This window comes from Homo sapiens, chromosome 11 (genome assembly GCF_000001405.40).
Source record: "Homo sapiens chromosome 11, GRCh38.p14 Primary Assembly".
Taxonomy (NCBI): domain Eukaryota; kingdom Metazoa; phylum Chordata; class Mammalia; order Primates; family Hominidae; genus Homo; species Homo sapiens.
In genome coordinates, this window is record NC_000011.10 from 74,701,582 (window position 1) to 74,726,230 (window position 24,649).

Here is a 24,649-nt window from a genome sequence, read left to right on the forward strand (position 1 = left end):
CTCCACTTACTGGCTGTGTGGCCTTGGGCCAGGTACTTCACCTCTCTGAGCCTCAGTTTCCTCATCTGTAAAATGGGGATAATAATATCTAACTCTCAGGATCGTTGAGGATCAAATGAGATAGTGAATGTGAAAGCACTTTGTAAACTCCAAAGTGCTACACACATTGGTTATTATTATCATTGTCATTTTTCTTATCATCATTCCCTCTTCCACCCCCACCCCGCCAGCCAAAACCATCAGTAGAGGAAAGGAACTTTAGAGCTAATTCACACTTAAAAGAGTTTAATTTGGATCATGGCTTAACAGTTCACTCTACCCAGAGGACTTATGTTTTACAAGAAAGGCCACGAAACTGAACTTTCAGCAATTTCCTTATCGATGAAAACCTGCTGGGTGTCGTGGCTCACGCCTGTAATCCCAGCACTTTGGGAGGCTGATGCCGGAGGATTGCTTGAGTCCAGGAGTTCCAGACTAGCCTGGGCAACATGGCAAAACCCCATCTCTACAAAAAAAATACAAAAATTAGCTGGGCGTGGTGGCTCATAACTGTGGTCCCAGCTACTCAGGAGGCTGAGATGGGAGGATCGTTTGAGCCCAGGAGAATGAGGTTGCAGTGGAGCCGAGATCATGCCACTGCACTCCAGCCTGGGTGACTGAGACCCTGTCTCAAAAAAAAAAAAAAAGTAGAAAAAACTCCTCTTGACCTTCAGTTGGTGATAGCAGCAGATTGTTGAAGAGGGTGGGTTTCTCACAGAATGAGAACTGTGGTTCTGATGTCCACTTACCTGGGAGTGATAAGATCCACCACCTTAAAAAGGCTGAACACAGCCAGCCTCCAGGCCCTCCTACTCTGAGGATGCTGTGAGGGCCCTCCTGCCTGAGAAGACCCCCGCTCCCAGTGCTAAAATCCTGCCATTAGACATCTGTCTATTTCTCCCTGCCTGGCTCCTCACAAGGTGCAACAGCGCCTTCCCCCCAGGAGAGGGAGCACTATCGAGCCTTGGCATTAGCAGGAGGAGCTTATCAGAATTGTAGAGAACCAGTCAGGCTCACTATCTTCCTGCATCTTGGAATCAGGGGCTCTTAAACCTGGCGGGGCAGCCAGAGGCACCTGATCAGCAAAACGTCCCTAAGGCCCCTGTGGGGTCTGGGGCACGGGAAGGGGGACTGGCCAGAGGTACACCCCACTGGGAGTGGGCCAGCACTCACCTTTTACCAGCTTCCAGAGGTAGATCTCCACCAAGTCCGAGGCCTCGTGTTCCAGGGCAAAGCGACGCAGGTTGTCTGGGCTTGGGGATACCGATGTGTGGACGAGGACCCGGCCCGGTGCCTTGGGACACCTGGTAGAACTGATCTCACTGTGGCCAGGGTCTGCTTTGTCCTCTGGAGAGACAAGAAGCTCATGAAGTGTTCAATAAACGTTGGCTGTACCTCTTCAAAGCTCTAATATTCTAAAATGTTGTGACTTCATGGAATCCGGAACATTACTGATTCTATGTTAACAACCTCTGAATCTATTATCCTGACACCGCATGGTTCTATCCATTTAATATTTTCATCTGACATTTTCCACTCCTGTGTGTCTGACATGCCCTGCATCCTGTGGCACCGATGCATGCCCTTCCATGTCTGAGATGCTCCAAGTGTCTGTGGCCCTGGGGAGAGAGACCCAGGGCTCACTCTGGCCAGCGCCCTCCTTGCTCCCAGTGCCCCTGTGTACCTGGGCAAATCTTGCAGCACTTCCCAGCCACTTTCTCGGGGTGACGGCAGGGGTACTCGGTGGGACAGGTCACACGCTGGCAGTCCTGGCGGCCATCCTCACAGGTGCATAGGATGCAGGGCAAGGGGCCGAAGGCACGGAAGGCCGGGTGCCACACCTCCCCGTGGGAGTACGTCTTCCCGCCATGCACACAGGCTGAATAAGGAGGGTGAGAAGGAAGGAGGATCAGGGCCTCAGACCTGGCCAGGGCCTCTGGTCCAGCAGCGGGTGGGGTGGGCCCTTGGGGAGCCCTCACTTTACCAGTCCTGCCTAGCCACACTGCCTGCAAAGCATAGGCCAGGGTATAAAACCTGTCCCCTCTCCCTGACACTGCCCACTGCAGCACTCAGAGCTGAGATGGGCCCAGAAGGAACTTACTGAAGATGAAGAGTCCTCCCTCACCCTTCAGGGCACTTCTGCGGGAGCAAGGAGAGTGCTGATCTTGTGGTAGGAGAACTGAGGTCAACTTTCGTCATCACCTGGTCATGTGAGCCCTGGCAGGTCCCTTTCCCCCCTCTGCCTCAGTGTCCCATCTGAACAAGGCAGGGCCAGGACTCAGTAGCCCCATAGCTCTTCCTTCTCCAGCCATCAGGGCACCCTGCAAGGAGGTCTCTTTTCTCCCCTTCTGTGGCCATGGCTGCCCATCTGGCCACCTTCTCTACTTCATCCCCACTGTCCTCCTGCAGCCTCGCTCTGCTCCCTCCTTCCTTTGTCAAAAACTGTCCCTCAGCACACTTCCTTATATTAAAGTCATTTATTTACTTGTCTGTCTTCCCAACTAGTCTATGAGCCCCTCAAGGGCAGAGACCATTTTCCATTTCCCATCTATCTGTTCTGTCTGCCCCTCTTCCCAGCAAAGACTCGGTAGATGCTAAAAAAAATCTTGTACTGTTCCAGAACTAGTTGTCTCTTACTCAATACTCTGAACCTCAGTGTCCTCATCTGTCAAATGGGGGTTTGAACCTGATGATCTTTAAGAGCACCCTCATTCAGTTTTGGCGTTCTCCGAGTCTACAAGCTCATGGCCAAGTTGGAATTAGGGAACTGCTGAGGAGAGGGTTCAGGGGGTTGGGGGTGGGAGGTGGGAGCAGTCAGGGCCCCCCTTCCCTGCCTCACAGATTGGAGGAGGGTCCAGTCCCCACCTTTCTTATGTTTCTCCTTCAGGACGATCTTGACAGTTGTGCTGCCTGCTCCCTTGGGTCTGAAGTGGCGAGGGATGAAGCTCAGAGGGGCGCTGAGGCCAGTGGGGGCTGGGGTGCCCGGGCCTCTCTTTCTCCCAGCATCACTGGAACATGGATCCTGAGGATGTCTCTGCAAATGGCAGGAAGGATGAAAGTCACTGACTGAGCATAGCAGGCCCCAGCTGGAGCCAGAACAGCAAGACAGGCTGCAGCAAGAGGCTGTGGGGAGACCCCAGCATGACTTCCCAGAGAAGAGAAGGTAGAGACCAGGGATAGAAAGATCTGGATGAGGTCTAAGATGTTTTCAGACAGTTCGATCTTTGAAAACTCTCAGAGGATAGTGATTTGGAAATCTGGCCTCCACGAAGCCCTTCTTGGGCCTTGTCAGAGCCAGGGGCCTTGGGGTTGGGGTGGGCAGAGGGTGCTGAGGTCTTGATCTGACAGACGTAACTGATCAGGGAGAACTTCATATTTGGGAAACAGAAGGTGAGCATGCAGTGAGGATGCACGGCAGGCAGTTCTCCTTTGCGGAGATTTAGTTGGTGGCTGGACAAGGGGATGGCCCTCTGAAGATGGCATCAGGCAGGCCCCAGAATCCCATGGGGCGTGAAGACCAAGAGCAGGCCCCATCCAGAGACAAAGGGTCTCTGAAGCTTAGGCTCTCTTTCCTGAACCCCTGGGATCCAAAACCCCCAGACCCTGTCCCTCCAGACCAGGTCTTGAGAGGGCTGTCAGTGACAGCAATAGGAGTGTGGCGAGGACAGCTCAGAGTTTGGGGACTGGGCAGCTCCCGGCCACAGGAGAGGAGCAAGTGGGCTTGGGGCAGGGACCAGAGCCTATTACCTCCCTCGCTGACCTGGAGCCACACACATTCCTTCTTCTAGAGCCCATTCCTGCCTGGTACAGTCCCTGCATCAGTTCTCCGATGGCCCAGAGCCTGAGCTCACAAGAGCTCCCAGAGTGGAAACTGTCCCAGGCCCCAGCACGGGCTCAGGCAGATAGGACACTCCTGGGAGATGTGTGTTGAGTGGAATAAAGGCAAGAGGGAATCAAACAGCTCAGTCTCCTAATGCTTGCTCCAGTCACCCAGCCCGTCAGTAAGTAGCTGATCAGAGCCTGGAACTCAGCCTGGGTGGGTTTCACTTACGCACTGCCTCCTAGGAAGAGGACAGGAAGGAAAGTGGAGGGAATGGCTTAGGTCCTGTGGTACCCTCAGCTCTCAGGTCTCAGGCCCCCACCTGAGAAGGCCTTGCCTGGGTGGGGAGGGCAGCAGGATGAGCTGGCAGAGGAGAAGGGTGTGGACATGGGCTCAGGCTTCTGGGGAATCTCTGGGAAGGGGAGGCAGCCTCTAGTCTCCCGGAGACCAGGAGACCCAGGCTGAAATAGCAGGTGGAGTTGTTCATGTGGCAGACATAGCAGAGAGGACCCATCAGGGACTTGAATCAATGTGTGATTCTCTATCTCCTTCCTCTCAGATCAGAGACAGCTGTCCAGCTAAGCCCATCTTAACCTAGACCAAGCTTGAGAGGGGCCAAGATACAGGGGGGTACAGAGAGGCAGGCTCTAAAGAGCCAGTACCTCAGGAACTGGGTGGGGAAGGCTGGCCCAAGTTAGAGGCCATTCCCTGGGAAGAAGGTTGCCTGAATTAAGGGGAGACACAGGCTGTAGATGGAACAGTGTCAAAGTGTTTCTCAAGAGGAAAGTGAGGAAGTTTGGGGCCTGCTGCTGCCCTGCGTGGTGACCTGTTTCCCCCAGGCCACTCCTTATCCATCAACCATGATGGGACCCATGATGGGAGGCTAGGGAGAGGGGCTGGAATATAGTGGATGTTCATGTAGCCAACCCAGGGGACAAACAAGAAATGAGGACAATAACTGGTATTGCCTGCCCCAGAGTCACGAGATTTAGGCCCTGGATCCCAGCCCCCTGTCCCGCACCCCGTCAATAAGGCCGTGCACTCACCACCCCATGGAGCGACTGCACACTGTCCTCTTCATCCGATTGCTCACTTGCCTCATCTGAAAACTCAAAGGGAAGCTGGGTCAGCCTCAGGCTCCCCAGCCTTGCTGGCTAGAGCCCTGAGGCCTCCACCTATAGGCTCTGTCCATTCCCAAGGCCTGCTGTCCCATCTGCAGCCCCAGCCCACTAGCCAGCTCCTTTGCCCCAGTGGGGACTTCTTCCACTTCCCATTACAGCCTCTCTTCATCCTGGTTGGGTTGATGAAGTCCCCTACAACTGGGTTGCTGCCTCAGTTTCCCTGTACTGACCTCCTGGTAACCATTAGGACTGAAGTCCTTGAAACAGAGCATCTTGTTTGGTCCTTACTGAAACTCACCTCTCTGGGACACTGGGCCATACCTTTCAGTATTTACCATGGATGGCCCAAAGGCCCAGAATCCCATCCCTGCAGCCTGCATAGATGCAGTTTCCTGGGCAGCCACACTTGAAGTCAGCAGGCCTTGGTTTACACTCCCAGGACCCTACACTCCAGCCCCTTCGCCCCTCCAGCCTGAGCACCCTGCCAGTCCCTATTCCCCTGGGAAACCAGCACACAAAGCCGTTTGGAGCCCTGCAGCTTCCTAAACCCGAGTGGGCCTCTCTCTCCCTATCTCTTGCCTCACTCCACAGTCTGATTCCCACCAATCATTCCCGTTTCAAAGACCCAGAACATTGGAATTAGACTGTGTTAGAAATCACAGGGCACAACTGAGGCCCAGAGAAGGGAAGGAATTTATGGAGTTAGCTGGAAGAACCAGGACTAAACTGGAGTCACCTGATTCCTAGTCCAGTGCTCCTTCCAAAATGCAAACATCTGGGGATGCATCCACTGTGGAGCACTCCCCTACCTGAGTGCCACCTCCTCCAGGAGGCTTTCCTTGACTACCTCAGCCTGCAGGGAACAGTCCGACCATTTCATTCTGCTCACGCTTAGCCTGCCCTTTGCTAGCTGATGTGTTGCCTCCCTGCTTTATAAGAGGTTCTACCTGGGTTCTGTATAAAAGACATGTTCTGAGCCCTGGTGAGCCCAATACTGTGACCAGCTCTGCCGTCAGGAAGGCAGGATGAGACGTAGTCCTTACCTGTACTAGACCCCTCTCACGTGCCACTTATGGTTCTCTCAGCTCATCTGCTTGCAGGGACTTTGTCCCCCCATGGCAGGCACTGCAGCAGCAGCCCCCCTGCACGGGCTCCCCAACACTTCCCTCAGGCTCAGCCTCACAGTGCCCCTCCCTCAAGCCCGCAGCTCCTGTCCACATCCCCTGCGCCCACTCCTTACCCCAGCCCACTCCTGCCTCTGCTCCCAGGGCTACTTAGCACCCACCCATGCATGCACAGCAGGGAAGTCCCACACATGGATGAGCTTTGGGCTCAATGGAGAGATAGTTGGTGGCTGGTGGACACATTCTTACTGCTTCCTCTACCACGCCCAGACTTTTCTGAGAAGCAGAGACTACTTAGAGCAATAGGTCACTTTTGCTTGGTTAGCAAGCAGAGGCCAGCCCCTGGACATATTCCTGTATTGCTTCTCTCTCTTTACCTTCTTCACTCTGCCTTTCCCTCTTTCCTCCCCCAATGACTGCAATAAAAATAAGTAACACATCAGCTTCTGCCAGGCTCTGCTTTCTGGGGGGTGCAGGCTAAGCCACACCCTGGAGGAAAGAGCCGTCTGCTACATGCTGGGTGTCACCTGCAGTTCCTCACGGCTCTCACAGTCCATGGCTAGGCCCATGGAGTGGAGGGGTGGGTGAGTGCTGCCAGATGGAGGGACAGACTCACCTTTGCAGGCCTGGCAGCAGGAGTCTGGCAGCGGGAGGGGTGCTGGGCAGCCTGGTTCGGGGCAGGTTGTGAGGCCGCAGTAGATCTGGCCCTCCTGACAGATAGAGCAAACCAGCTGGGAAATGAGCTCTGATAAGGGCTAGCCTTGGGGGCTAGGAACACCCCCTTCCCTGGGAGCAAATGGCCTTGAGGTCTCTCCTATGGTGGGGAGGGGAAGCAACAGCATCTCCACAGCAAGGCCCGGCCAGCTCAGAGGAGGGGTCCCCCGTGCCCTCCCAGCCCCACTTCCAGGCCCTGCAGGTAACATCCAGCCTTCAGCTTCTGACTCACTCACAGCCAGGCTGTCCCTAGCTGCTGCCTGGTAAGGCGGGAATCTCCCTATCCTACAAATGAGGAGCCGGAGCGGGGCCTGAGCCATCTCAGGTTAGAAAGACAGTTGGGGCCCAGTCTTCAAGCTTTTCCCACTGAAATCAACATCATGGGAGGGGGACAGGTGGGTGATACCTGGGCTCATCTTGCTCTTTACTGAAAGCCCTTGGTTTCCAACTTTGGGATCCAGCCTTGAAAGGCAAGACTGCAGGGGAAGGGGCCTTCTGGGGGTCAGGGGCCAGGTGACCATTGGTGGTCACTTCTTTCCTCTGGGCCTGAGATTCCTCCTCTGTGAAGTGGGGTCACACCCATTTGGGGTGTGAAGATCCAGTGAGGGAATGGCTGTGAAAAGCACAAGGCACAACGTGCCTGGGGGGAAGCACTATTGCCCTGAGACCTTTCCCTGTTCCCTTTCCAGAGGGTCTGAGAAGTGAGTGTTCCGGTCCCTCGGGTGAGGCCAGAAGAAAAGCCAGCCTCATATAATCAGGGATGAGAAGGAAGAAGGGGAGGCCCAAGTACCCAGGGAGAATGAACAGAGGAATCCTGGGAATGCTCTCACCACCCACCACCCAGCATTTCTGTCTCTCGCCACAGCCCCCTCCTCATCCAGGCCTCATCCCTTCAGGGGAGGCAGCAGGACACAGGGAAAAGAACATTGGCTTTGGAGCCAGGTGGCCTTGGGTCTGAATTCTGGCTCTGTCACTTACTAGCTGTGTGATCTCAGGCAAGTCACTTAACTATTCTGAGCCCGTTTCCTCATCTGGAAAACAGAAATAGTGATATCCTTCTCCTAGGGTCATTCGGGTACTGTCTATAAACCAGGCATTTCTATGAACCTGGTGACACAACAGACTAGACCACTGCAAAAGGCTCACACCCTGCAAAAGGTAATTGCTTACTAGGTTGATTTATAAGTAGTCACTCCTCATTATTTGCAGGCTGTTTGCTCTGCAGCACAGAAACTTTAAGATTCAAAGACTCAGACTGATGGGACCCTGTCACTGAAAAGATAGGGAGGCAGGCCCAAAAGAAGTGACTTGTTTGAGGTCACACAGGGAACTGGGACAGTGCTGGAGATCAAACACAGGTTTCTGATACTAGTCTGGAGAGAACATTAATGATCACTTGGTCAGACTCCCTTACGCACTCAGAGGAACTGAGGCCCAAGTGTGGTGATCAGGTAGTAAATAAATCGGGAGGGCAGGGACTTCTCCTGCCAATTCACGGATGAGTTGCCAAGCCCAGGGTTAAAAATGACATGCTGGGCTGGGCGCGGTGGCTCACGCCTGTAATCCCAGCACTTTGGGAGGCCGAGGCGGGCAGATCACGAGGTCAGGAGATCGAGACCATCCTGGCTAACACGGTGAAACCCCGACTCTACTAAAAATACAAAAAATTAGCTGGGCGTGGTGGTGGGCGCCTGTAGTCCCAGCTACTCGGGAGTCTGAGGCAGGAGAATGGCATGAACCCGGGAGGCGGAGCTTGCAGTGAGCCGAGATCACGCCACTACACTCCGGCCTGGGTGAAAGAGCAAGACTCCGTCTCAAAAAAAAAAAAAAAAAATGACACGCGGAAAGCCACCTGCAAACCTATAGGAAGGCCATGCCTACACCCCAGTTCCCTTACAAGGAGGAGGCTGAAGACTTTCCAGAGGAGGCCCTGCTTAGCTTCAGTCTCTGTCCCATGATAACACTGCCGAGTCAGCCCTGCCTGCCCGGAGGTCCAGCTCTAACAATAGGCAGGAGGAGTTTAAGTAGCTTCAGATTAATTTCCATTTGCTACAGATAATCTGGCCCTGTCTCTGTCCCCCAGGACTGATAACTGATCATTTGCGTATTCATTCTCTCATTCAATAATCATTACAGATGTCTTTTGTGCTTTAGGCCCTGGACTGACAGCAGAGGATAAAGAAATGAAAAACATATGTTTCCTCCCCTCAAGGAATGCAGCGTCTACTGGGGGAAACAGAAGGCTCAGGAAGGTGTGGAAGCTCAGAGAATGGTCACCTGACCCAGCTAGGGACAGGACATTCCAAACCCCAGATATTCCCTTTCCCCTGAGCCCATTCATTTTGCTTTGGCCAGGAGGAACAATCCCCCCAGTCCGCAGTCCAGGCTACTATGTTCTTTGCAGGCCCAGAGCGCTGGCCTGTGCTGAAGGGAAGGCAGGAGTTCTTACTGTGCAGCTGCAGAGGACACACTGGTTGGGCAGGCGGGAGGGGAACAGCTCATGGGCACTGAAGATCTCTCCGTGTTGGTACATGGTCCCGTTGTGCTGGCAGGACTTTGGTGGGGCCCGGAGTCCAGAGGGAGTGTGAGGTTCTGCAGTGGGGGAGGGGCAGGAGGAAGAAGAAAATGAGGTTTCATGTGAATCTTTGCTGAAATTAACAAGGCCACTTTTCTGATGATTTTGCATTTGACCCCAGCTTGATATTTAAACCAAGCTCTGGCCTGGGCCTTGCCAGCCATTCCCCTTATCAGCTAACTAAGAGGTCCCTCTGATACCTACATCTGACTGAGTCCCTCCCTCCCATGACCTCTACCACAGCCCTCCAGCCCCCTCAGTGTCTGGGCCAGCCCCAACCAGAGCAAGAAGGTAAAGCCGGCAGCCTCAGCTTCCGCTCAGTGGGGCCCGAGTTAGTTCATCCAGCATTTAATGAGGGTTCATGGAGCACTTCTCAGTGCCAGGCACTGTTCTAGGTGCTGGGGATACAGCAGTGAGCAAAAGAGTCCCTGCCCTCACAGGGTTACATTCTAGTGGTGCCAGCTGGCATGATTGTCCCTGTGCTTGGGTAAACTCCTGTCATTCACTGGCCCCCAGAGCCCCCCTCCCCATCACCTGCCCATCAGTCCGTCCTCATCCTGCCAGGTGGAGGGGTAAGCCTCTGGTCCTGAGAGAGCCCACTCATTCATTCAAGACCCCTTGACTAAGCACTCCTCTGTTCTACGCACCATGCTAGGCATTGGGAATGGAGCAATGAGTAAGATTTAGCCCTTGCCACCAAGAAACTCAGACTCAAAAATTACGGGTGAGGTGGCTCACGCCTATAATCCCAGCACTTTGGGAGGCTGAGGTGGGAGGATCACTTGACTCTAGGAGTTCGAGACTGGCCTGGGCAACATTTTTTAAATTTTTTTTCCTTTTTTTCTTTTTTTTTTGAGAGAGGGTCCTGCTCTGTCACCAGGCTGGAGTGCAGTGGCACGATCTCAGCTCACTGCAACCTCCACCTCCCAGCTTCAAGCAATTCTCCTGCCTCAGCCTCCTGAGTAGCTGGGACTGCAGGCACATGCCACCATATCCAGCTAATTTTTTTGTATTTTTAGTAGAGATGGCGTTTCACCATGTTGGCCAGGATGGTCTCAATCTCTTGACCTTGTGATCCGCCCGCCTCGGCCTCCCAAAGTGCTGGGATTACAGATACAAGCCACCGTGACTGGCCAGAACTTTTTTTTTAATTTTTAAAAAAGAAGTTTGAAATCTAATTAGGCAGAAAGACAAGCCACAAGCAATGATGCTGTAGCAGGTGAGGGCTAGGGTGGATGGAAGCACAGAAGTTGTGACAGCAGAGAGGAGGAGCCTCTAACTCAGCCGGGGAGGAATGGCCAGGGAAGGCTTCCTGAAGGGCCGATGGCATGGCAACGGTGAGCAGAGTCTTGAAGAACTGTGGAGCCAAGCAGGCACAGGGGCAGGGGATGGGAAGAGAGAGGGAGTGAAGAGTGTTTTAGCAACAAGAGGCCTGGGCCAAGCACAGGGGAAAATCCCAAAGTCAGCAAGGAGAGGTGAGGCCCCCCAGAGTCGGCATCAGACATGAGGACACTCCCTCACTGTGCAGGATGAAGCTGAGAGCCACTGTCCCCCCGGGGACCCACAGCCAGGAATCTCTATGACCCATGTAGGGGCCACGAGTCAGATCCCTACTGGGCTCCCCCCTGGAAAATGAGCCCCACTCCATACCAGCTCACCAGGAAAGTCCTGATTCCAGAGCCCCGACCCGAGGCCAAAATCTGGAGCCTCTTCTTCACCACTTTCTTGATGCTTCTAAACATCAATTTTCCTCTCAACCTCCCCTCCCACCTCCAAGTTGGCCTCCCCTCTGGCTGCCCCTCACTGGACACTTGGTTTTGCCAGTTTCTTCCTAGACCACCTCTCCTTTCTCTGACTTCTTCTTCCTAGAATCTTATTCTCAGAGGCTCTTAGAATCTTAAAATCATGGAATCATAGACATTTAGCATCAGGACACATAGAGTCCCTGAATCTCAGCAGTGGGAGGAATCTCAGAGAACAGGGCCTGACTCCTTTAGTCCTTCTGAGCTCCCCCAGTGGTAATTCTGGGGTCTCCCCTTAGGACCTTCAAGCCCAAGATCACTCACCTTCACTTCCCAGACTGCGCCCACACCCTCCAGCTCTGGAAGGCCCAAGGGAGACTGGAGCCTAAGTGTGCCAGTCAGCAGCCCAAGCAAGGCCCTGTTTCCTGCAGCTCCTTTCTGCATGTCCTCCCTCCCCTGCCATGCACACCTACTTAAGGACATGAAGTCTCTGCTACCCCAGCACTGCCTGGGGATCTGGGATATTTCCTCCCTTGAGCACCTTTGTGTGTCTACACCTCTGATGGGTAGAGACTGCCCCTCTCCTTGCAGGGGTCTCCCTCAGCTAGAGGGCTACACTGGGAGTAGGAGAAAGGTCCATGGACGATGGGGAGGAGCATGGCTACTTACCCACACACTTGGGACAGCATTGCTGTGGCTCCGTCACAGGCTGGGGGCAGTGGACAGGCGGACAGTGGAGGCGGTAACAACTCACATGGGCGCCCTGAAGGGGACACAAGGGTCAGCCCTGGTTCAAAGAACCATCGTCTTCCACCTGTACCTGTCCTTTCCCAAAACTCCCACCCCAACTGCAGAAGTCTGAACTTGTCGTAAGCCTGTGATTGGACTGAAAACAATTAAGTGTGCCCGGTTCCTCCCCATTCCTGCCCACCAAGGGGATCTCACTTGGCCCACATATCCATGTGCCTCCCCTACCCTGAAGGAGGTCAGTTCTGGTCATGGACTTGCTTAAACACTGTCCCCTTCCCAGAGAAAGACATGTAAGCCTAGAGTTGTTTGACATTGATCTTGATGCTTTGACTGCACTATTTTAACTCTAGGGCTTGGTCCTTTTAACTCTGGGCCTGAGCCTTGTGGTCAAGAAAGGAATGAAACATGAGGACAGGTGACTGGGAGGGGGTGTGAGACTGAAAACCTCATGTGGAGAAGACGGATGGCTTTATGATCCACCCCCTAAATCTCTGGGAGGTTTGGGTAATCCTGGACAAAGCCTTTGGAGTTGGCACCAGAGAAGGAGGGGCCTGAAGTTCCTTCTCTTTTTTAAGCATAGCAAGCGAGAGAATTGGGCAGGCGAACATACGCAGAGAGAGACAAGCAGAAACCGAGGCAGAGTGGCCACCACCCCTCGTGGGGGTCTTCCCAGCTCTCCAGGCAGTTTTTTTTTTGGCCCCTCAGCCTTCCCGCACCTTGTTCTTCACTCTGTTACAAGGGTCACTCTGCTGCATTGTGATGAACCATTTACACCTGTGTCACCGATTCAACCACGAATTCCAAAGAATGGGGCCTTGCTCCAAGTTAGTGGCTGCTGGAGTCTGAATGGATGCATGAGTGAGTGAATAAATGAGAGTAAGGAAAGGAGGGGTTGATGGTCCTCTCCTAGATGAAGGAAGCCCGCTTTGTTCACAATTCTGAAGTTGGCGAAGTTTGTTTCTAGCCCCGCTTCTCCCCCTGGTTCCTTCCTCCTGCCCTCTCCCTGGACCTGAGTTCCCTGATAGCACTTCTCCCAGAGGCAGCCTCTTGCCCCATGGAAGACCCTTGACTGGCCCTACGCCTTCTGGGGTCACTGCTTCCCAAGATGGCCAGAGGTAATCGCGAGAACTAGTCAGTGTTAAGGGGAATCCCAGAGTCCACAGAATTGGTCTGAGCTCTAATAGGGGCCTTCTAGAGGCCCAACGCACATGGGTGCTTAATAAATGTCTAGAGGATAAACCAGACACTAGACATCTGAGGTTCCCAGATGAGAAACTAGGATGGAGTGCAAGGGACTGTGTGGCCTGAAGAGTTAGAATCGGTCTCTTGATTCTGGCCTCGAAGGAGCCAAGGATGGCGATGATTATTAGCACCACGAAGCAGGAAACAGGATGGAGACAGGTTAGCGGTGAAAGGGCAGGTGAGGCACCTGGAAAAGCCCTTTGCAGTCACAGGGAACTTCTCAGGAAAGTCATAGCCTCCATTTATTGAGTGGCTACTGAGGTAGGGCCTTTACGTTATATAAAAATCATCCCACTTCGTCTTCTCAACACCCCTAGAGGTAGATACTATACTATTAGTCACACTTTCTAAATGAGAAAAGAGCCTTGAAAGGTTAAGTTGCCTGAGATCACAAAGCATGTAAAAACTGTCACCAGGGCCCGTGTACTTTCCACGATGCTGAGCTGCCTCTGGTGGGTAGACGTGGACTCATTCACGCTCAATACTTGCTGCAGGTCTACTGGGTGCCAGGCCTTCTTCTGAGCACTAGGAATTAGTGGGACCAACAAGGTTTCTGCCCTCCCGGAGCTCACATCCTAACAGTGAAAGATAGACTATTAAAGAAGTAAGCAAGGACCACGCACAGTGGCTCACGCCTGTAATCCCAGCACTTTGGGAGGCCGAGGTGGGAGGATCACTTGAGGTCAGGAGTTTGAGACCAGCCTGGCCAACATGGCAAAACCCCGTCTCTACTAAAAATACAAAAATTAGCCGGGCAGTAGTGGTGTGCCTGTAATCCCAGCTACTTGGGAGGCTGAGGCAGAAGTATTGCTTGAACCTGGGAGGCAGAGGTTACAGTGAGCCGAGATTACGACATGGCACTCCAGCCTGGGCGACAGAGCGAGACTCCAACTCAAAAAAAAAGAAAAAAGAAAAAGAAAAAAAAAAGTAAGCAAGTAGGAACAAGAAGATTTCAGATGTTAAATTTATGATATATAATAAAATAGAGGGCCTGGCGTGGTGGCTCACACCTGTAATCCCAGCACTTTGGGATGCCAAGGCGGGCAGATTGTTTGAGGTCAGGTGTTTGAGACCAGCCTGGACAACATGGTAAAACCCGTTTCTACTAAAAATACAAAAATTAGCCGGGCGTGGTGGTGCATGCCTATAATCCCAGCTACTCGGGAGGCTGACGCACGAGAATCACTTGAACTTGGGAGGCAGAGTTTGCAGTGAGCCGAGATCGTGCCACTGCACTACAGCCTGGGTGACAGAGCGAGACTCTGTCTCAAAATAAATAAATAAATAATAAATAAATAAATAGAGGAATATTATTTCATTAATAGGGGTAGACTGTTAGAAACAGCTGTCAGGGAAGGCTTTATAAGGAGGAAACATTTGTGTTATGAACTGGGAGATGAGAAGGAACTGTTCGTGAGAAGATCTGAGGGAAGAACATTCCAAGTGGAGGAAACAAGTTGGAATGAGGTTCAAGTGTTGGAAAAACCGACAGAGGTCAGTGTGGCTGCAGCAGAGTGAGCAGGTATGAAATGAAATTGGAGAATAAGGCCAGGCGTGGTGGCTCATGCCTGTAATCCCAGCACTTTGGGAGGCCAAAGAGGGCAGATCATGAGATCAAGAGATGGAGATCATCCTGGCCAACATGGTGAAACCCCATCTCTACTAAAAATATAAAAATTAGCTGGGCGTGGCAGCAGGTGCCTGTAGTCCCAGCTACTTGGGAGGCTGAGGCAGGAGCATCGCTTGAACCTGGGAGGCGGAGGTTGCAGTGAGCCAAGATTGCACCGCTGCACTCCAGCCTGGTAGCCTGGTGACAGCATGACTCCATCTCCAAAAAAAAAAAAAAAAAAAGAAAGAAAAGAAAAGAAATTGGAGAATAAGACAGAAGCAGAGCCCTCAGCGGGGAATTTGAATTTTACTTTAGGTCCAATGAAAAGCTATTAGAGGTTTTTTTTTTTCTTTTCTCTCTTTTTTTCCCTAAGTCAGAACATGACAATCAGCACACAGTCTCTGTATGTCTGTCAATGAGTTCATCATCTGTTACTGGAGGGTTTTAAGAGCAGAATGACATGATCAGTTTCATGCTGAGAAAAGACCATTCTCACAGGGCACAGTGGCTCACTCCTGTAATCCCAGCACTTTGGGAGGCTGAGGCAGGTGGGTTTCTCGAGCTCAGGAGTTTGAGACCAACCTGGGCAACCTGATGAAATCCTGTCTCTACAAAAAATAACAAAAATTAGCTGGGCATGGTGGCACACACCTGTGGTCCCAGCTACTCAGGTGGCTGAGGTGGGAGGATTGTCTGAGCCTGGGAAGTCAAGGCTGCAGTGAGCTGAGATCGCACCACTGCACTCCAGCCTGGGTGCCAGAGCGAGACCCTGTCTCAAACAAACAAACAAACAAAAAAAAAAAACCATTCTCACTGCCGCGTGGAGGATGGATTTAGGGGGGGAAACAGGAAGACCTGTTAGGAGGCTTGTGTGGCAGCCCAGGAAAGAGATGACAGATGATGGTGGCTTGGATTAGGGGGAGCAGTGATGGTGGAGAGAAGTGGAGGGATTGAGGGTATATTTTGCAGATACCAGCAAAAGTCCTCTGGGTTGAGGAAACTGTATGTGAACTCTGTGAAAGGAGAAATGAATTAACTCCAATGGCTCAAAAAACTTGGACTTTGTCAACTGGACCACATGATATGTCTGGAATTTTCTGTTATGATTTCCTTTCTGTTCTCTGGCTATATTTCATAAAGTCCTTCTTGAAAAGGCTGATTGGCCTCAGATGTGCTAAGGCAAACCGAGGGGAGGCAGTCATGGTGGGGGTTGTGTCCCCATTTCTACTTGGGGCCAACACGGTAGAAGCAGTGGTGAGTCAGGAGGAAAGACCCCAGGAGGAGTGAGACCCCAGTGTCAAAGTCAGGAGGGGGGCTAGCCACCCTCTCCGCCACCCCACAGGATCTCCTCCAGAGCTCTGTCTGCTCCCACCCCAGAGGGTTCTGTTTTAACAAGGGAGACTCTTAGAGGCCTTCTGCATTCCTCTCTTGGCTCTGTGCAGGGAAAGAGTGGGGCTGGGAGGCTGGCTCGGGCTGGGAGCTAGCTACCCCTCCCTCCAAGCACCAACACCCAGACAAAGAAAGCTGGGGACATCCACACTGGGCTCCAGGCAGCTGAGCTAAAGCCAAGGGTTTTTCAGGCCTCCTAAGCCACTTCCTCCTCTTCCGCCCCTCCAATCTCATACCTTACTTGTGAATTCTGGACCACATGGGGGTCTCATTTATTCTACCCAGTTGATTTTACAAGGCCCTGTGGAGGTGCTGGATTGTCATGGGGTGCGATGGGGTGGGAGGAGATGGAAAACAAAAACATGGTCTCTACCCCAGGTGGCTCAGCCTTTGGCAGGGAATCATGCCAGGTGTGAGTGAGGGCCCAGCAAGTCCTAGCCTCAGAGGTTCAGTCTAGGAGGGGCAGTAACTATGTTGCCTGGTCAACAATGATCAGGAGAAAGGGGCAGAGAAACTTATGTGGGATCCCAGAAGAAGAAAATCCTTCCAGGTGGAGGTCATTTTCCCATTTGAGCAAATCCTTGAGGAACAAGTAGTTGGGCTAGTGGAGGTGGGGGAACACATCCTAAGGCAGGGCCAAAGTGGCTGGAGGAAATAGTACGTGAAAAGAAGGGAATGGGAGATAAGGTCAAAAAGGCTCTGTCTTGGGCTGCGTGGGAGGCAGGGAGGCTGGCACCAGCACGAGGTGGAAAGAAGGCTGGGATGTGAGATGGGAGACCAGGGCCCTCATCCCAACCCAGCCACTAATGTTTGTGTGACTTATCTTTGGGAGGTACACAGTAGCCATCTAATCCTATATATTGAGTAGTCAGTAGTGAAGTGGCTTGTCCCAAGTCTCTCAGCTGCCGCTGACAGCACAGTTCTAGAAGGCCTGGTCCTCCTTCTGGGGTGACTTCTCTGGAGGGTTCTCAGACATCCCTGACACAGGTGGTCAGGTGGCCAGAGGAACCTACCTCTGAGCAGGTACAGCGCAGGCAGTACATCAGGCCTTGTGGCTCCAAGTAGGGGTGCCAGCTCTCGCCGGGGGAGTATCTCTTCCCATGGAAAAGGCAGAACATGTCTGGGCCTGGCAAACCGACCAGTGCCATGTTAGTCCCAGGAGGCTCCAGCCCAAAGACCCTGTCTCATTTCTCCTTCTTTCTAGCTCTAAAAGAGATGTCATCTGGGCCACTCAGGCAAAAGAGAATCTGCTAGACAACTGGGCATGCTCTCCTAGGCAAGGGGCCAGAAGGTCTGAGTTTGAATCTCGGCTTTACCACACACTTACTGTGCAACACTGGGCATGCCACTGTCTCTGAGCCTTAACGCTTATCTCACAGGGCAGTTAGGGAATCAAGCAGTGAAATGCTGTACAGATTTATATCATGGTATCAGCGTTAATTATTATGATTAGACAAATGAGGCCCAGAGAGGGTAAGTTACACCTGAGGGCCACACAGCAAGTCAGTCACCAGGCAGCGATGACAGCACCAGTCTCCTGACTCAGTCCCACGCTCCTCTGCCCTCACAATCATGCTTGTTTCCTTTTTATTTGTCCCATTTGGCTTATTTAGTACATCACCTCACCCTTCCCTCCCTTCCCACCCCTCTCTCCTCTCCCATCCCCCTCCCCTGTACACACACACACACACACACACACACACACACACACACACACGTGTACACATTCTCTGGGTCCTGTAGCCCACCTTTTGAACAAAGTCCTCCTGGTGTGAAGATCACCAGGCACCTGTGTAGAGGAGGATTGGCAGGGATGGGGCCTGAGGCCATGGCTCTGGGAGCTTTCTTGCTTTCACACTGTACTATGTCCTTATATTTTGGTGAGCCGTGATGAGAAGGTTGTTAGGAAACTGACTTTCAAGTATCCTTAAAAATGGTCGTTGCTACTACTGTGATTTGTGATTGGCACACCAATGGACTTTTTTGCAATCGCACATCAGTTGTCAATATCTGGATGAATGCTTCTAAGAATTACTAAAATCGTTTGTTCCATGGGTTGGCTATCTCTCCTACAATCCTGCATTCCTGAAACCTCTGCCTTTCTCACCTCCCATAACCCACTGATCCACTCCTGCTCCCACCTCCTACCCACTCACCTCCAGCCCTGGGTCAGACCTCCCAGCCCAGCACTGCAGCCTTGTGCCCTGCCCCTCTGCCTCCCGCCCTATCCTCACCAACCCTCCTCTACGCAGGTACCTAGCGATCTTCACGCCAGCAGGGAAAAACACTCCATTGCCTGAGCTCTTTTCAGGAGGAACTGGGAGGCTCAGCACAAGCTAAGTGCCAGTAAAGGTTTGTTGAATTAAATGAGATTGAAATATGGAGAAGGGAACCAACATTATTGACTATCTTCTCTTTGCCGAACCCCTTATAGAAGTTAATTATCTCATTAACATTATTGTTTTGACCATTAAATTAGATAACGCTTGTAAAGTGTTTACCCAGTCCAGTTTCTGACCCTTAGTTGAATGCTATTATTATGATAATTGTGGTAACAATCACAAAGCCACTGCAAAATGGACATTGTCATCTTCTGGAATAGATGACAGTATCCGTCTTGCAGTGGCTTTGGACTGTTACCACAATTATGAGAAGGCTCACAGAGACTATGCCACTTGCCTAAAGTCCTCCGCTAGGATTTCAGCCCAGGACTCCCGCCTCCAAAGCAGAGCTCCTTTCTCTTCACCTCATCTCTCATCTCCTGTGGCTTTTTACACAATTCCAGGGCCTAAAGGCCTTCTTCTCTCTCTGCCCCACCAGCCACCATCCCCGACTCCCTAGCTTATTCTCTTAGTCCCCTGTTGGTCTAAAATGGAGAAGCTGCCTCTCATGCCTCCTTCTCATTTTCCAGAGTCAAGCGTCTTAGAAACATGGGTTCTTACACTTCCTAAATCACATTCTCTTAGACTTTGAAACAGAATCGCAGAGCATTGAAAGCAGTAATGAGTTGGGTGGGGTGAGCGGGGAGCTCACATTCAGTGCAGGAATTCCCTCTCAGCACTGGGGGCTGGGCTGGCGTGCAGCCCCTGCCTGACACACGCCTCCAGGAAACAGGAGCTCATGGGCCATTCCTAACCATCAGAAGGTTTTCTTTGTAAGGAGCTGGAGTTGGCCTCTCTCGGGTTCCTCATATTGCTCCTGCTCTGCCCTCTTGGGCCTCCTAGAACAAAGATTTGAGACTGCTGTCACGATGCCTTCAGTCTGTGCTTCGAGGGTCGCTGAGAGTAGGAACACATGGCTTAGTTCCCTCGCCATTCCCTTCCCAACTCCGCAAAGTGGAGGAGCGATTAAAGTTCGCCTCTCACATTCCCAGCAAGCCAGCAAGGCCCGGCTGGCCCGTATCAAATGAGCTGTGTTTATCTCTCAGCCTCTACTGGCAGAGAGGGTGGGACACGGGCCCAGCTGGGGTGCTGGTCAGAGCCAGCCCAACTCTCCAAGGAGTGAATAATGTCTTTCTTCCTCAGTCCCCTCCTCCCACCAGGGAGGGGGTGATTGCAACACTGCCACCACCTTAGGTCTCAGCCTGTTGCTGAAGAAGCCCTGTCCTCCCTTCCTTGGGGCAGCCCTGTAGCCCAGGTCTCTGTGCCAGTTGGCACCCCCTTCACCTCACCGCCTGCTCAGAGCATGAAGACAGAAAGAGTGTCTCAGCCAATGCCCAGGCAGGAGGCCCCTTCCCCCCACCAACAGACCTGGCAGAGGCTGAGAATGTGGGGGGCCTGGCAGGAGGCCTCCAGTGGCCACAATCCCCACCCCACCATACCCTAGAAGGTGACAGGCACAAGGAAGGGTGGCATGGCCTGGAGCTCTCTCTTCCTCAAGTGAGATGAGTGCCCAAGGCCATGCCAGAACCAAGCAGGAGGAAGAACTGCCAGACGGCGACAGGCCGCCTCAGTTCCTGCAGTGCTGGCACTAGCCCCAACCCTTGAACATGGCTGGTGAAAACAGTTTTAGTTCTTTAAGCCACAAGTTCACTGTGTGACATTCAGAGACTCATCCTCCTTTCTCTGAGCCTCAGTTTCCCATCTGCAAAATAAGGGGAGGGGGTAAGCTATGATCTTCAAAGATTTTCTGCATAGATACTTTATGAATCCATGATTTCAACATTTGAAGACTCCAAAATTCTAGGATTCTAAGGTTCAGGATTTTGAGAATTCCATGTTTCTAAGAACCTGTCTTTCCTTAGAACACAAAGCTTCTAGAATTGTCCAATGTTGTGGTTCTAAGATTCGATCATTCCAAGATTCTATGATTCTTGGATGTGTTGATGGTCTCATACATCTTAGGCTCTCAGAGGCTCCAAAGTGGGTTAGGATGAAGTTCAGGGAGCCAGTAGGACCAGTCCTGAGTGACACAGGTGTGTCACCTGAGTGTGAAGGAGGTAGAGTTTGTCTCATACCTCACTCCCTTCCCATACACTCCCTTTGGTCCTCTGTGGCGTTCCCACCTCTGCCCTGGCCTTGGACCTGCCCTGATTCCTCTCCCACCCCACCACCAAGTCTCATCCCACCTGTGCCCATGCATCCCTCCCCATCTCAGAGACCAAGCATGACTTTTCTCAGGGACCCTTTGGAGTCAGATCGGCTGGGGTTCAAATTGTGGATTTGGCTTTTATTTGCAGCCTGAATTTAGACAAGTTACCTAACCATTCTGGGCCTCTGTTTCCACATCTATTAAATGGAACTAATAACAATCTTTACCTCTCAGAGTTACTGTAGAATTAGGTCAGATAATATATGTAATATGCCTAGTGCCTGACATATATTATATGCTCAACTAAATAGGTTTAAAAAAAAACAGATCTGGGCACTGACCCCAGACTTCCTTAATAGTTTGTTTCCTGTGGTGTTTCTTTGACTCCCAGAGCTCTCTGTGGTCATCCCCAGGCACCTATTAGGGGATGAACATCATAGCACACACTGAGGCCAAATCTCCCAGGTCTCATTTACTACTGCACCAATCATGATTCTGGTGGCCTCCTGCATTCTTCTAGCCCCACTCATAAATCAGATTAGTTTGCCTCAACTCACCTCAGGCCCACAGACCTTGGGCGGGGATACAGAGATGAAAGTGGCTCAGAAGTTGGAGGAGAGAATGGGAAGGCAGGAGTGAGAGGCAAGAGACCAGTCTGGAAGGAGAAGCAGAGGCTCACGGAGGTCTTTGAGAGCCTGAGAGGCAAAGGAAAGCCATGGAAAAGCTTTAAACTGGGGAGTTCCATGATCAGATTTGCATTTTAGAATCATCACTGTGCTCACAGGAATGGAGAACTGATTGGAGGGCAAGACTGGAGGCAGGGAGACCAGGGAGGGGCTGTTGCAGTCATCCTGTTTTGAGATCATGCTGGACCTGGACCAAGATGGAAGCTGTGCTGATGGGCAAAAGTACAGATTTGAGAAACACTTAGGAGGTACAATGGGCAGGCTTTGGGACAGACTGGATAGGATATGGGTGGAGAAGGCAAAGGAGCCATCAAGGTCAGGATTGAGGTTTCGGGACTGAACACATACGTGAGTGTGCGGCACTTGGCATAACAGGCAGTAAACATTATTATCATTAGTAATACAGTAGTCCCCCCTCATCCTTGGGTGATACATTCCAAGACCCCCAGTGGATGCCTGAAACCACAGTTTGTACTGAACCCTACATAGACCATGCATAGATTTCTTTTGCCTTCTTTACAATTTCACAAATAGAAGATTCATCCTTACTGTAGATCTTAGCAAACTCACTATACCATTTTTTTCCTTTCCTTATTAATTGAGAACTTTTACCTTTTTACTTAAAGAAAGCACTTTATGGCTTCTCTTTGGCATATCCAAATTGCTGGCACTGCTACTCGTGCTTTGGTGCCATTATGAAGTAAAATAAGGGTTCCTTGAACACAAGCCTTGCAATACTGCAACAGTTGATCTGATCACTGAGACAGCTACCAAGTGATTAACGGGCGGGGAGCATCTACAGCGTGGGCACACTGGACAAAGGGGTGATTTACATTCTGGATGGGACAGAGAGGGATGGCAACAGAATTCACCATGCCACTCAGAATGATGTGCAATTTAAAACGTATGAATTCTTTATTTCTGGAATTTCCAATTTAACATTTTGGACCAAGGTTAATCACAGGAAACTGAGACCTCAGAAATTGAAACCATGAATACTGGGGGACTGCTACAGTAATATTACTTCCCATTATTCATTTATTTATTGAACTTTTTGTATGTCAAATATTATACACATTCATGGGCCTGGTACATGACTTAAAACAAAGTCACCTCCTGAAGGAGCTCACAGCCTAGTGAAGAACACAGATAGATACAATACATTCAGTCTGACAAACGCTATGATGGCGTGAGCATAGGGTCTTCAGGCGAGGCTTCTCTAGGAACATGCCTGAGCTGGATCTTGGAGAAATTAACAAGATGCAGAAGGGGAAGGACTTCTCAGGCAGTGGGTGCTAGATGCAAAGGCACAGAGGTGGGAGTGGATGTGGTTCATGAAGGACACAGAGGCTTCTCTTTGGCATATCCAAAGTGCTAGACACTAGCTCCCTTTCCCACAGGAAGTGTCCACTTGGATGGGCCACAGCCAAATCTCTTTACCTGTCTGAACAGACTTAAAGTGACTGGACTTAGTTGATCTAATCTGATTTCAGGACAGCAATGTTTACCAGACAGATTCCAAATGTCACTGTGTCATCCCCAGCCTATCATGAGGTGGCTCCTGCCTGCTTTTCCAGCAAAACTTTTTGTGGTGGCCCTGTTTTCAGCCTCACCTCCTCTTGCTAAATTCCTCACTCTTCCACCAGCCCCCAGGCCTCCTCCTACTGTGCCTTCAAACATGCTGTTTCCTCCACCTGGAATGGAATCCTCCATCTCCAATGTTTGACCAACTCCTTCCCATTCTTCAAAAGCCAGCTTAGATGCTACCCTTTCTGTGAAGCTGCCCCAAACTTCCAGCCACTGGCCTTTCCTGCAGAACTGAGTTCAGCCCTCATTACAATTCTCATCACAAATGGATTAGAGGTACTTCTTAAGTAAGCTTTGCTTCCTAACCAAACTGGGACCTTCTTGAGAGCAAGGACCAGATCTCATTAAATTTTGTGCTCAAGGTAGAGCCTACATAGAGTTCGTGCCTGATGAACGAAATCAATGATGAAAGAACAGAGTTAACAAAGAGGGAGAGATTCTGGAAGAGGAGCCAATTGACGGTCCTTAGTCCTGGAAGCTTCTTTCATTCTTTTTTTTTTTTTGAGATGGAATCTTGCTCTGTCACCAGGCTGTGGTGCAGTGGCGCAATCTCTGCTCACTGCAACCTCCGCCTCCCAGGTTCAAGCGATTCTCCTGCCTCAGCCTCCGAGTAGCTGGGACTACAGGTGAGTGCCACCACGCCCAGCTAATTTTTGTATTTTTAGTAGAGATGGGGTTTCACCATGTTGGCCAAGATGATCTCGATCTCTTGACCTCGTGATCCACCCGCCAGGGCCTCCCAAAGGGCTGGGATTACAGGCGGGAGCCACCACGCCCAGCCCTGGAAGCCTCTTTCTTTAACAAAAGGAGTAGTTCATTATATGGGAAGAGGGCCAATTCCCTTTCAGCACTTTTACCTTGCCACCTAACAGAAATTAGCTTCTGACAACCCCCACTTTCCAGCTCCCTGCCATCTGAATGCTCAAACCACTGGCCAAACCAAATGACAACATGTACAAAAAGGTCAGGAGCCCAGAGTAGCTAAGGGGATGAGTGATTCCATGATCTTCACGCATAAGTCAAAATTTCCAAACTGTCTCTATCCAAGTTCCAAGCTCATCCCACAGTCTGGCTTGAAACTCTCATGCTGTGATAAAAGGTTTTTTTATGGTGGTCAGTTAGAAGGGGTTAGTGCGGTTGAGAATTCTTCCCCAATAGGAAGCAGAAAAGACAACTAGAAAGAAGCTTCTGGGCTGGAGGGGAGGCTGGTCAAGACCTTGGAAAGGGCATCAGGAGGGGCCGGGGTGAGAGGAGAGAGGTCTGGAATTGTGGCTGGCCTGTCCCCAGGCTGCAAGAACTCAGGAAACCTGAGTGAGCCAGGCTGCCCAGGAATGTAGAACGTTTACATCTCTTCCCTCACACCCACACAGCCATACTTTCTCTATTTATTTATAATCCCCTCTTCACACAAACAAACTTGCTCCCCTCTGAGACATAAGCTCTGCTCTGGGCTCTGGCACCCGGTGGGAGAGGCCTCTTAAGGAAATCAGAAGAAAAGCCTCAGCTCCTCAGTGGCTGAGCTGTGCAACCCGGAGAAAGGAACTGCATTTCTCTGAACCTGACTTTTCCCTCTGGCACATGACAGACATACAGGAACATAGAAGGGCCTCTAGGGAGAGAACTATCAAACCAGGAAAGGCAGCTCTGTTACCTGTTAAAGGGCAGGAAACAGGGTGGGGACTGTTCACATTTTTTTCTGCCTTGGACATATATGCTTAGAT

General features: G+C 51.4%; 1 protein-coding gene, 1 long non-coding RNA gene and 2 other non-coding genes across 10 annotated transcripts in view, besides 1 other annotated feature; 1 reads left to right on the forward strand and 3 right to left on the reverse strand.

Annotated features, from left to right (window-relative positions):
• The window catches only part of CHRDL2 (chordin like 2), a 34,998-nt gene that overhangs the window by 5,153 nt on the left and 5,196 nt on the right, over window positions 1-24,649 (reverse strand). The window contains exons 2-10 of one of the 7 annotated variants that reach the window (NM_015424.6): window positions 17,139-17,251; window positions 11,805-11,898; window positions 9,268-9,410; window positions 6,721-6,814; window positions 4,906-4,961; window positions 2,905-3,073; window positions 1,724-1,918; window positions 1,213-1,386; window positions 11-65 (exon numbers count right to left, since the gene is read on the reverse strand). In NM_015424.6, the coding sequence (NP_056239.3) occupies window positions 11-65; window positions 1,213-1,386; window positions 1,724-1,918; window positions 2,905-3,073; window positions 4,906-4,961; window positions 6,721-6,814; window positions 9,268-9,410; window positions 11,805-11,898; window positions 17,139-17,251 (1,093 nt within the window). Of the gene's footprint in view, window positions 1-10; window positions 66-1,212; window positions 1,387-1,723; window positions 1,919-2,904; window positions 3,074-4,905; window positions 4,962-6,720; window positions 6,815-9,267; window positions 9,787-11,804; window positions 11,899-17,138; window positions 17,723-24,649 lie in introns of those variants that run through there. The other 6 variants (NM_001304390.2, NM_001278473.3, NM_001304391.2 and 3 more) reach the window with 6 other exon arrangements.
• On the forward strand, window positions 3,068-3,997 carry LOC124902714 (uncharacterized). Its single transcript, XR_007062777.1, has 2 exons — window positions 3,068-3,202; window positions 3,828-3,997. It is a non-coding gene; the product is annotated as an uncharacterized LOC124902714 (long non-coding RNA).
• Window positions 5,688-6,532: an enhancer, noted in NCBI's record as "H3K4me1 hESC enhancer chr11:74418314-74419158 (GRCh37/hg19 assembly coordinates)". NCBI's record gives its function as "activates a minimal SCP1, AML or CMV promoter by ChIP-STARR-seq in naive H9 embryonic stem cells {active_cell/tissue: H9 hESC(naive)}" and the evidence as "EXISTENCE:reporter gene assay evidence [ECO:0000049][PMID:30033119]".
• Window positions 15,106-15,168, reverse strand: LOC124900308 (small nucleolar RNA SNORD43). The gene has a single exon (XR_007063002.1). It is a non-coding gene; the product is annotated as a small nucleolar RNA SNORD43 (small nucleolar RNA).
• On the reverse strand, window positions 18,687-18,756 carry MIR4696 (microRNA 4696). The gene has a single exon (NR_039845.1). It is a non-coding gene; the product is annotated as a microRNA 4696 (primary transcript).